The sequence below is a fragment of the Homo sapiens genome, chromosome 1, assembly GCF_000001405.40.
Source record: "Homo sapiens chromosome 1, GRCh38.p14 Primary Assembly".
NCBI lineage: Eukaryota > Metazoa > Chordata > Mammalia > Primates > Hominidae > Homo > Homo sapiens.
This window is the reverse complement of record NC_000001.11, coordinates 207,824,040-207,836,073: the sequence shown is the minus strand read 5'-3', so window position 1 is coordinate 207,836,073 and position 12,034 is coordinate 207,824,040. Positions and strand designations below refer to the sequence as shown.

The following is a 12,034-nucleotide window of genomic DNA, read 5'->3' as shown; positions in this document are numbered from 1 at the left end:
GTACTTAGAAGAATTAGGAGGTACTTGGTAAAAGCTTGTTAATTAACTAAAGTGGGGACCTAGAACCATCTCCAAAGAACTTTTGGTCTTCTCTTGTGCAGTCAAGACTCTTCATGTCTCAAAAGGACCCTGAGCTTCTGTCTGGAGCGCATCAGAATCTGTGAAATGCCTGGATCTAGGCCATAAAGTAGAGGGTTTGTCCCCCTCTTTTCCTTGGTTGCTGTATGTTCTTAATAACAGTAAGAGTTTTAGCCCACCGCAGGAGGCACTTGAAGGCATGCAAAGCTCCACCTCTCCACCTACCTCCTAGGGCCCTGGGTGGCACTCCTCTGCTCCTTTCCTTTCTTCTTCTGTTACCGTATCAGGTAAGGCCACTTTCTACTCTTAGTTGAAATTTACAGTTGGTAGCCATGGGGAACCATTAGAGTCTCTGGTCTTTGATTCCCTGGGAGAGGGTGGGTCTGACAGTGGCCTTCCCACCTGTGTGATGAGGACAGCTGATTTCTGTCTCCTTTGTTCTCAGCCTCACATGGGGTCACAGGGAAAAGGAAAACACATAAAAGATCCCCAGGGCTCAGATTTGGGGTTGCACTGTTTTTAGTCCAGAGCCAGCTGTCCTTGGCATCCGTCAGGCAGAGGGGTGAGGTGATTGCTGGTGTTTGTGACACTACAGGTTGAGTGTCCCTTTGATATTTGCTTGGGGACCCTTTCCAGAAGCTGCAGTTAGAAGAGCACATTCTTGTTTGATACATTTAGATCAAAGGAAGGAGAGAGTAGGAGAAACCTCAGAGGACCTGTGTGGGTGGGCAGGGAAGGGATTCACATCAAGTGAGCCCATTTCCAGTGTGTTTGTTGGGGATTTAGGGGTTGTCATGTTGACAGGCCTAATCTAGTCCAATCAGGCAATCAGCAAGTATTGATTGAGTGCTGCTAGAAGTATCGCTTTGGCAAGAATGAAAAAAGAATTTTGAAGCTTGCCTGGACCCTTTCTTTGAAAAGTTCAGACTCTAATTGGAGGCTACAGATGAGCCACGTGTGACATGAGACATGACAGCCTATTATCTTGGCTCTAAATTGTAACAAGGGGTTAAACTGTTGGCATCTGGAGAAGGAAGAACAATCATGGCAAACGTGGGGCCTGCAGGATTGCTGTCTATCTCATCTGGGAAAGAGTGAAGGATACAGGTAGACATATTGCTTAGTCTAGTAGAGTCCATGGGTCTCAGACTCTTGTCCAACATCAAGAGTATCAAAGCACCTTCTCCTTGCTGGAGTTTGGCCACGTGGAAAGAATCTATCCAGCTAACTCTCGAAAAAGGAGCAGGTGAGCATTGGGATTGATTCCCAGCTAAGGGAAATTGAGCAGATTAATGGAGATAATATATGTGAAATGGCTTAGTGTGTGTCATACAGAAATAATTCAACAAAGGCTTATTGGCAGATTCCTAAGCTCAAGACTGAGAGGGTCTGAAGAAGGCACATAGCAAGGTTTTAATTATTGTGTGTATGGGAGGGCTGGGTTGGGAGTTGAGGGGCAGGGGAAGATTAAGCAAGACAGGGAGTGAGGACTCCTAAGGGAGGAAGAAGGTTCTCTGGGAGATCAGAGCCGGCTGCCCTTTGGCCTTCTCAGGCCACTTTTGGAGGGCCGCTCCAGTTCCTGATCTCAATTAGGAGGGAAAATGTCAAACTACTAGTTGAAGTACAGAGCAGAGCTGCTGGCACGTGAAGAGTGGTTAAAAACATGAGACTGCGTGGCCCAGAGAGGTAGAGATTTTGGTGAGAGGGGGTTTGCTAGGTACAGTATTGTGTGCTTAAAGCACTGTCAGGTGATGTGGGTGTCAGAGTTACCCTGTGGTACCTCAGGGGGCAGCCCTGGGGCCAGTGGGTAGCTGTGACAGGGAGGCAGACGTTGGTGTTGGGAGCTGGATTCCTGTCTTGCTTTATGGGCTGTGAAGGATGTGAGGGAGAGAAGATGGGTGACCCTGTCAGGTCTCCAGCTCCTTCCGTGGGCCCTGTAGTGTTTACACATGAGCGAATGTCCACCATGCAGGGGTGCTAATAATGAAAACAGTAGCCATAACTTTCCTTACTGAATACTTGTTGGGTACCAGGCACTGTTGCTGAGTGCTTTACTCAAATAGACTCTAATCTTCACAGCAACACTGTGAAGAGGTATGATGAGCTTATCAGCCCTACTTTATAGATGAGAGAATTTAGGCAAGACATGGAATAACTCACCCAAGATCCCACACCTTGGACTCTAACCCAAGGCGGAATCTTCTTGTCTCAGTGGAAGGTGAGGCCAGATGACATTCAGGGTGTCTTACACCCCCAGGGTTCTAAGGCCCTGTCTTGTGGCTCATCCTGGGCTATTTGGATGGGGTTGAGAGGGTCATTGGGTTTGGGGCAGGAACAGTGGTTACGACTCTCGGGATGACCTGACTGTGGATGCTGGTGCTGCCCTCGAGGTCAGTGATAGGGCTCCGTGAACAGGGTTCTCCCGCTGGCTGTTAGGAAAGGGCCTCTCTAGGGAAGTGGGCTGGGACATCCCAGCTTATCTCAGCATCTCAGTTCCTCCTGTCTTCCTTCCTCTACCCTTATGGTGATTTAGGGCTCTCAGAAGCTCCAGTGGTAATTTTTTCATGTCAGCCTACCCAGAAACTTATATATATATTTTTTGAGACAGAGTCTCGCTCTGTTACCCAGGCTGGAGTACAATGGCACAATCTTGGCTCACTGCAACCTCCACCTCCCAGGCTCAAGCGATTCTCATGACTCAACCTCCCAAGTAGCTGGGATTACAGGCATGTGCCACCATGCTCAGATAACTTTTGTAATTTTAGTAGAGATGGGGTTTCACCATGTCAGCCAGGCTGGTCTTAAACTCCTGGCCTCAAGTGATTTGCCCGCCTTGGCTTCTTTTGGCCTCCCAAAGTGCTGGAATTACAGGCGTGAGCCACCGCACCTGGCCCCAGAAACTTCTTGATTGTGTCATGAGCGCACTCAGCCTGTAGATCTCTCCTCAACCCCCACTAAGCTCTGCCTCCCAAGAAAGGCATAGAGCAAGTGATGTCCAAGTGCCTGGGCCTCCAGGGCCGGCAAGACTTGAGCTGTCTTGTTTGGGGGGCCAGGGTGGGATTAAGGAGCCAGCTGTCCTCCTAGCATCTTGCTTTCTTAGTTTACCAGCCTCTGCTGACCGAGGGAGTTCCTGCCAGCCAAGGGTGGAGCTCCTTAAAAAGTGCCTCGCGCTGTACCTGACACATGGGCCCCAAACACATTATTTTTTTGGAATAGATCAATGGCCGTTCTTTCTGTTGGACCCGCCTGCTTTCTAAATATTCACCCTGGCCTCTGAAGGTTTTGAAGTTTTCAGAGGGAGAGTGATGGGGTACTCCTCTCACCTCCAAAGTATGTGGCGTTGGAGAAATCTTCTAAGTGTAATCTTCTGTCTTTTAAGGCAGAGCTGTTGTTGCTGTGCTGCTTTTGGAGAAAGAACATTGGCCTCGGAGGCCTATGTCAAATCCTAGCCTGAGAATAATGGCTGTCCAGTGGTCCCAGGGGGTTTCAGAGAGCTGAACCCTCTAAAAGAGTGTAATTCCAACACCTACCTTCAGTAAATAAATCAACCACAGGACTGCCTCCCACCCCCAAAGATTCTGGTCAACATCCCCTCCCAGTGCAGAGGAAGTATTCACATCATCAAAGGTTTTGTGGAACTTTACTTTTGGTATGGTTTCACATTATGAAAACGTATCCCAAATATTAACTGTTATGTTTTAGACAGTCCCCAGCTCCTCTCCCACCCCTGAATGAGAGTCTCGGCCCTGGAAGTTTTGTCCCTGCTCCTGGCAAAGCTGGCACTTTGCTGAAAGCTCGGACCTGCACCCAGGCCATGCATAATGGCCCTGGTCTCTTTTCTCCTCTGTCCTAGGCTGCAGGTACGGACGTGCCCCTGCTTGGGGGATAAGGCAGTATGGAAATGAAAGTTCAAGTCAGAAGTGTTTGGGGAATCCCCTGCCCCACTTGTGTTTATGATTCCTGCTGTCTAGATCTGACTCAGTTAAGTAGAGCAGAAGTTTGTTGTGAGGCAGGAAAGCGACTCCATTTTTAAGTCACATGGTGCTAAACCCATGTGGTCACACAGAGGTCAGCACAGACCCATAAATCATCAGAGGCCTAGGTTCTTCCTACCCTAGAGACATCTCCTCCTGCCCACAAGAGCAGCAGCAGCGTCTGAGGGCACCAACCTGTGCCTGGAGGGAGTCTGGCCAAGACCCCTCAATCCCGGCCATGTCTGGCCTGGCACAGGCTACAGGTTCCGCTGTTGAGGAATGGAGTAATGTTCTCCTCAAGTCCCTCTCACATGGCCCAACCACACTCTGTCTCTCTGGAAATTATTTCCATCCATTGGCAGGGCCAAGATTTTGAGCAGCCAGCCAAGAGGCACATTGGGTTACTCCCTCAGTCCCAAGAAGACTTTGTCCTCCTGTATTTTAGGCAGCAGGAGCTGTGACCAGTGGTTAGCAGAGTGGCCACATTCACTCAGCCCCAGCCCATAGTCAGGATAGCAGGTGCCAGTGCTATTGCCAGTCTGGGTTTTGCTTATGGCTGAGTTGTGAGCCCTCTGGGGTGGGAGCTTAGATTTAATGATTAGCGGCCTAAGACAAGATAGATGTTTTGGCCTGTTTCACTTTCCCAAGAGGTGATGGGAGCCAGCTTGGGCAGGACATTTTGGAGCCTGGATTTCTGGCCTGAGAGACAGACTGACTGTGTCTGTCCAGGAAAAAGCATCTACTTACAAACAGAGCATCCTAGTCACAATATCTGCTGTTGCAGGCCTGACCTTCCCCCATGCAAACATGCCCCTCTCTGTGCAGCCCTTGGGCGTATTTCACACGGGAGTCCCTGTTGGTGCTGGGGTTCACTTCCATTTGTGCTGTGAATTCAGCACTCAACTTGGCCTTTGCTTGTCTTCCTTTACCCTGAGGGTCGGGGAGCCCTGTGTTCTTGGCCAGCGTCTGCCAGGTCACTCACTCTCTGCCGCCTGGCTCCGGCTCCCTGTCTGTGGCGGCATTCTGAGTGTGTGTCTGCATTTCACCTCTGCCAGAACCTACCCTCCAGCACAGGCTGTCCCCAGCCCTTGCCTCTCGGATTTTCACTTGGCACCTGGCACTGCATTGTGTCCTTGGAGTGTTCGTTGTCACTGCTGGGCCTTGTTTCGCTTCAGCTCAGTGACATGGGTGGAAGTGTCATGGTCTCTTGGGTTGGGGGAAAGCTCCTCAGTGGCTCTGGGGTAGTTCCTCCAGGAGACTGGCACAGTGTGGTCTTCATGGCTGAGGTCTGACCACACCATGATCACTGCTGTTGGTCTGCAACTATTAATGGCACTGCTCCTTAGGAGCCTTTTCCCCATGAATGCCATCAGACTTCTACTCTATGAGTACCATTTCTGTCCCCACCCCAACATCGAGCACATTCTCATACTTTTTGTGATTATATATACTTAGATTTCTGTATTTTTGTTTCTTCTTGAAGTTGCTTGATGTTAGAAATTCATCTCTTCCTTACCAGGTGTTGAACTATCCCAGTAATTTAGCTTTTACTTGGCTTCTGCAACCTTTTTTTCTCTAAGCTCCTTATCTGTCTTGGGCCTACCACTTGAACACACTTGATCTTGTCTACTTATCTCGTCAATATGAAGCTAGGTATGGTTGTGTCTGGTTAGTACTTGGATGGAAGATCTGAGAATGCTAGGTATTCTAAGTCTTTTGAGGTGTTGGTAGGCTTTTTCTTATACCAAATGCAAAATCTTTATGTCACCATTGTTGTCATTCTCATCATCATAGTGATAGCTGGGATTAATTGAGCACTTATTCTGTGTTGGGCCTTGTGCTGCATTACTTCTGTATCTCACATCCTCTCCAAGAAAATCCCAATGAAGTATAGATGAAGCTGAAACTAGAAACTTAGAAAGGTTAAGTAAGTTGTTCAAGTTTATATAATTAGTCAAGAGGCTGCACTAGAATTCAGATTCAAATCTATCTCATTTTAGAGTTAGAGTTTTTAACCACTAAATGTAATATTTTTGTTTGGTAGTTAAGTACTCTATAAATGTTGGTTGAATGGCAAGATTGCTCTGACAGTCCAGCTGTTCTCCATGGTGTCACTAATGATGATGATAGCACACAGCATTTTTTGAATGAATGCTTGCAGTGGTAAGCTCTGTACTAAAAGATATGCATTAGTTAACCCATTTAATCTTATAGCTCAATGAGGAAGATTACCCCCATTTTGCTGATTAGGAAACTGAGGCCAGAAAGGCCAAGGTAACTTGCCCAAGGTGACACAGCTAAATAGTATTAGGGGATTTGGATGCAAGCTGTCTCCTAAACTGTGTGAGTCTGTACTCTTAATCACTATGTTGCTCTCCACAAAAAAATAAGGCTGATTTTTATTTTTCTGTGCTTTTCTTCTTGCTGTCCCCTTCCTTAGCTAGTGATGCTATTTCTTTACCAGTTCTTGCTCATCCTATTCATTCTCAGAAGCCCAGGCTGGAGTTCTCTTCTCAGACTATGCATGTCCACATCAAGCTGGCTTCTCACAATTGGCCCCTCAGTGTATTTTCCTAAACCTTACTTGTAAACATGTTAAAATGACCAGATTTACAATTAGTGATCTACACCGTAATAGCAGACCTATTTGTTTGTCTTATTTCTACCAAAGAAATGGAACAGGGAGCTCAGAAACAGACCTATATGTATCTGGACACCTGATTTATGATGAAGAAGGCACTGCTGGGCAGTGGGGAATGGATGGTTATTTTAATAAACAGTGCTGGTTCAACTGGATATCCACAGGAAAGAAATGAATCTTGATCATATACAAAAATAAATTCCAAAGCGATCATCAATCTAAATGTGAAAATTAAAACAAAACTTCATCTACAAGATAGCATAGAATATCTTTATAACTTTGGGGTAGCCATACATTTCTTAAAGAAGACACAGAAAGCACTAACTCTAAGGGAGAAGACTGATAAGTTGGATGTCATTAAAATGAGGAGCTTCTGATTATCAAATGACATCAATAAAAGAGAGTGAAGCCAAGCAGAGAGGAGAAGATATACTCAGTACCTATACCTGGCAAGTGGATTCATATCCAGAATATATAAATAACTCCAACAAATCCATCAGTAAAAGAAACCCTTCCCCCTGGACAGAAAAAAGTTCCATACTGAACAATTGTGAGTTGTATGCAGTTTTCTTCTCCCAGTGCAAGGTTCTAACCAGTATGTCCTGGATCACTGGCACAGCCTGGTGGCTGGCCTTGGGAACTGTCTGATCTGGTGGCTCTTGGCATTTTCTTTTGTGTATGGACTGTGGGCCCTTCCTTTCCCATGTGCTTCTTCACTTGCTATTGGTTTGGCCACAAGAGGCTCCTGTCTCATGAATGCCTGTGTCTCTTCCTCTTTTCCTTTGGCTTGTTAACTTTTGATCAGTTATTTCGAGAATATTTCTCTCTGGCTTCTTCCCCCCGCCCTTCCTTTTTAATTTCCCTTTTTGTACCTTCTTGTTTAGCCTAAAAACTTCTGGTTGTAAAAACCATCCTAAAGTGTCTCCAAGTCTTTGGGGGAGTAGGCTTGTTCTCTGGGGCTCCAGAGGCAGAGTGGAGACCTGAAGGCTAATATTTCCCTGCAGAGAGATTTCATCTCAGTTGTGTTCCACTTGTCTGAACCCTCCAAAGGTGTGGTGGGAGTTATTGAATCAAGTTGGGGCTAGACCATGACTTGGTCACGGTGGTGTTTGTGGAGGGTACTGTGTCTTGAATGGGCAGCTGGATTATGATAAGCCCTTCCAATCTTATCACCAAAGCCCTGGATGGACGTTTTGTGGATGTCCAGAGAAGCGCTCTCAACTGGGAGACAGAGCCAGTATATCAGCATGACTTTTCTGCCTAGCTGGCAGGTCAGGATGCACACATATTATTACTACTTCAGTTAAATCACGTATACTTGGAAGTCATTTCGATACACCTCTCCACCTGCAGCCCTCAGGGAAGTTTTAAATTTTCCTCATTTTCCTCTATGCTTATTATTTTCCTCAAATGGCAGATGTGTGAGGTAAAGTTTTCCTCTTTGGGTATGTTCTTTATTTTATTTAATTCCTCACTCTGGCAATGCTTGCTCTTTTTTTTTTTTTTTTTTATTACAAACGTATTGTATTTTAGACACATTACAACCAGGAGAACAAACTGGAAGCTCTATAGGTATGTTCTGACCATTAAAATATCTGGACAGTGTTAAAAAAAAAATCAGGAGTTTAACATAAAGCTAGTTTTCCGCCTTGCCCTGAAAACCTGGATGATCTGGACTCTTTGGGTCTCTGTTCCCAGATGGTCCCCAGCAGGCAGAGCCAGGAGGGTGGCCCATCAGGAGTGGCACGGTCCTTCCACTGGGCACATCCCCTCCCCAGGCCACTGTACTCCTTCATTACCTGCATGGCCCCTGAAGACACTGGAGTTGATGACTTCCTGGAGTGGATAAAATGGGCTTTTGTGAGCTAGCCTGGGAACCAAGCAGTATGTTTGATATTATTTCATTGCAAAAGTGGATCTCAGCTTTTAAAGTAAGCAGATGTTTTAAATATCAGCAATGCAAATTTGGGAATACTTAGCCTCAGCTGGAATGTGTGTGTTCTCCATGATGGACTGTTTCTGATGCTTTTCCTGTGCTGTATCTTGGCTTAGCACTTAGTAGGTACTTAATAAATGATTTACCTCAGGTGGTAACCAAGCGCCTGTTGTCCACCAGCTCCCAGGGAGTGAACAGAAATGCCATCTTGCTGTGGACTGGGCCTGTCAGTTCCACCTGAGACCAGATCGCTGCCAGATTTATCTAGAACATCCACTCTAGCTCTAGATAACAGAGATTGGAATGTGTCCTCTGCACAGCTTCCCTGTCTGGAGAGCGAGGTAAAGACCTAGACCCCGTCGAGTTGGCCCTAAAGAGGAAACAGGACAGGGAGGCCGGCATGAAGCCGGCATGAAGACTGCTTTTCTGGCTGTTGCCTGCCGAACTGGAGTTTGTGGCCGGTACACAGTGCTTGCATTCCACACCCTGAACAAGGGCGGGTCAAAGTTCAGCTCATTCCCCTTTAAAGAAAAAAATTCTTTGTCTTTGGCATTTCGAAGTTTTGACCCAGATCAGTCGGAGGCCACGGAATGCTCATGAAGTCTGGAGAGTTTGTTTAGTTCCTGAGTCCGGTAGCTGCCGAGGAGCCAAAGAGAGCCGGCAACCTGTTGGGCTTGAGCTGAAGCCTTGCCTTTTCAAGTTTGTGCTGGCCTGGCCTCCCCAAGCCTCTGAGGGTGAGTAGAAGGAGCCAGCACCTTTTCCCCACTCTGAAGTTATCTTTACCCCCTGAAATCAAACACTGCATGCAGCACCCTGTAAAACTGCTTCCTTGTAGGCTCGAGCGTGCTTGCTAAGTAAACATCCTCCCATGTTTTTGGAACTGAATTCATTTCTGCTTCCTGGTCATCCCATTCGGGTTTTTTTGTTCTTGGTGCCTTGTAGAATCAGGTTAATAGAAGGAAGACCTAGAATTGGGCAGAGGTACCTAAAATGACTGTTTTAATCCTGCCTCCTCCAGCCTCCTCATATAACTGGCTGTTTTCCACCGCACTCAAGGTTCCCTCTTTCGGCTTAAAGCCCCCCTCTGTCTCTGTACAGGAAAAGCCTCTTCCTTCTTTCTTGCCTATTAAATTCTCCACTCTTTAAAACCACTCCATGTATGTCTGTGTCATTTTATTCAAACCGGAGCAAAACCGAAAACCCTAGTGTTCTTCCAGTCATCAAAGCCGTACCAACGGGGTCATGGGAAGGAAAAGATTTAGAGGGAAAATGAAAGGAAACAAAGCCTTGCTGAACGTAGTGTTGTCATAGGTTTTTGCGAGTCATAGTTGGTTCATGCCGCACCCCTGAGATGGGGACTTATCTTTGCAGGGACTCAGCTTAGTTTTGCTGCGGTCATAGACTACAGTCGGCCTCTGTACAAATTCTGTGGCTTTGTAGGTTCCTCCTGTGACCCTGCCTCGCTTTCGCTTCGTCTCTCATGACTTATTTGCCTCTTCTCTCACTTCCACCCACCCGTAACATCCCCATCGCCATGGCAGTGAGCAGCCACGTCACTCACCAAGTTCATGGGGTGATGGGCCAGCTCTGTACCAAGCCTACTTCCCTCTAGTTCTGCCTCCTGAAGGAGGAGGCTCCCTGGCAGAGCTCAGAGCCCTTTGTTTATTTGATCCTGGGCTCTTGGATAAATCAGGAATGTCCTGACATGAACTTAGGCATGTTTTTCTTCCATGGAGAAGGAAACTACGGCAAATGGGATTTAAGTAACCAGAGGACCTTTCTGGGGGACTTGCTTTAGTGCCATCAAGGCCACGTTCCTTTGGTCATCAGACCAGTAGGTAACTTCTTTATTGGCATGCTCAACCTTGGAGCCCAGAAGGTGTGAATTTGAAGCACTTTCCCCCCTGCTGGGAGCCTGGCACAGATACTCTGGTCTTCTTTTAAAACTGTGTAGTGCCATGCTTGTCTTCCAAGTGGTCCTTCTTTCTGCCGGATGAAACTTTGGCCCAGAGTAGTTGCTTGAAGAAGGCTGCCTGGGAAGCAGATATGGGATAAGGTAGCTGCCTGGCCTCGCATTCTCATTCATCTTCCTGGAAGTTGCAAGGTTCTTGATGTCATAGACTTCATAAGTTACCTGACCCAGGACCTGAATATCTCACTCACTTCTGGTCAAGTCTAGGCTCATATGGTACAACTGGTTGTCGGGAACCTTTCTGCATTCTTTGGATGTAGCAGTGTGGGAACCCAACACTCCCTTGGTCTATCTGGGTATGTAGGGTCTAGTGATTTAGTATCTCAGTTGTTCTTGGAAGCATTTTTGCGTCTGGGGGGAGGGGCAGGAAAATGTTGGGGGCTCTTTGCTTGCTGTAGTGGAGACCTGTGAGTATCCAAAAACAACCCCACTCCATCTCTAGATCATTGGTGGACCACCCCTTCCTGGAAGAGTTTCCAGGAGTGTGGACATCCATGCATGAACATTGTGGAGGGGTTGGGGGTCGGCTCGTGGATGCTCATCTTGCTTGACTGCCCATGCTGGAGAGGAGAACCCAGTCATTGGCCACTTCAGGTCCAGGCTTGGCTGTTGCTCTGTTTTGCTGTTTTTCATGTTGTCAGATCTTCTTGGGAACAAATGACTCAGCAACCCAAATCTCTGAGACTGTGTGGCCAATTACTTGAAAAGTAATTGAACGTATTTACCTAGGCCCTAAAATTTTGAGCCCAGGAAGGATGGATATCCAGACTGGTTTTACTCTGGATTCTTCAGGCTGCAGTTCAATTTGGTTTTTCAAATTCCTGCCCTGATAGAAGGATCTCATGTGTGGGGTAGGCAGGCAATGTTTTAATTACGCTTTTTGTCCTTAAGAAATTCCAGGGAGAAAAAGGTCCTGGTTTTTGGCCAAAAAGGCAAAAAACAACAGAAATCAGCTATGACTGTAATCCTGGACTTGTCTGTGGCACAAAGAGTTAATGGGACAGTGGTCAGGGTGAGGAACATTTTTTCTCAGGGCTGGAGAAGCCCATATGGCTCAAGAAAACATGTTGCAACATTTAGTACAGGGCAGCCCTGTCTGGGCACTGGGGGCTGCCACTCAAAGAGTTAAGCTACTCTTATGCCTGAGAAGGCCTCAGGGAAGGAGTGAGCCTGAAAGGACAGGGACCTCTATGCCCCAGAGCAGTGAGGTGCAGGAGGGGTGAGGTGGGAGGGTGTGAGCTGAAAAGTGTGGCCAAGGAAGCAGAGTGTAGGCCCAACTTTTTTTGCCTTGTTTGACCAGCCTTGGCACTGCCCTCCGGCTCTCCAGGGGAAAAGCTGCAGTTCTGCTCTTGCAACACAAGGAGCAGACTGGAGAATTTAGATCTGCGTCACAGAGCTGAGAGAGAGAGAGAGAGAGAGAGAGAGAGAGAGAG

At 47.1% G+C, this 12,034-nt stretch overlaps 2 annotated features.

The window, feature by feature from the left end:
- Positions 10,015 to 10,134: an enhancer, noted in NCBI's record as "active region_2455". NCBI's record gives its function as "activates an Ori minimal core promoter by ATAC-STARR-seq in GM12878 lymphoblastoid cells {active_cell/tissue: GM12878}" and the evidence as "EXISTENCE:reporter gene assay evidence [ECO:0000049][PMID:35858748]".
- Positions 11,681 to 11,730: an enhancer, noted in NCBI's record as "active region_2454". NCBI's record gives its function as "activates an Ori minimal core promoter by ATAC-STARR-seq in GM12878 lymphoblastoid cells {active_cell/tissue: GM12878}" and the evidence as "EXISTENCE:reporter gene assay evidence [ECO:0000049][PMID:35858748]".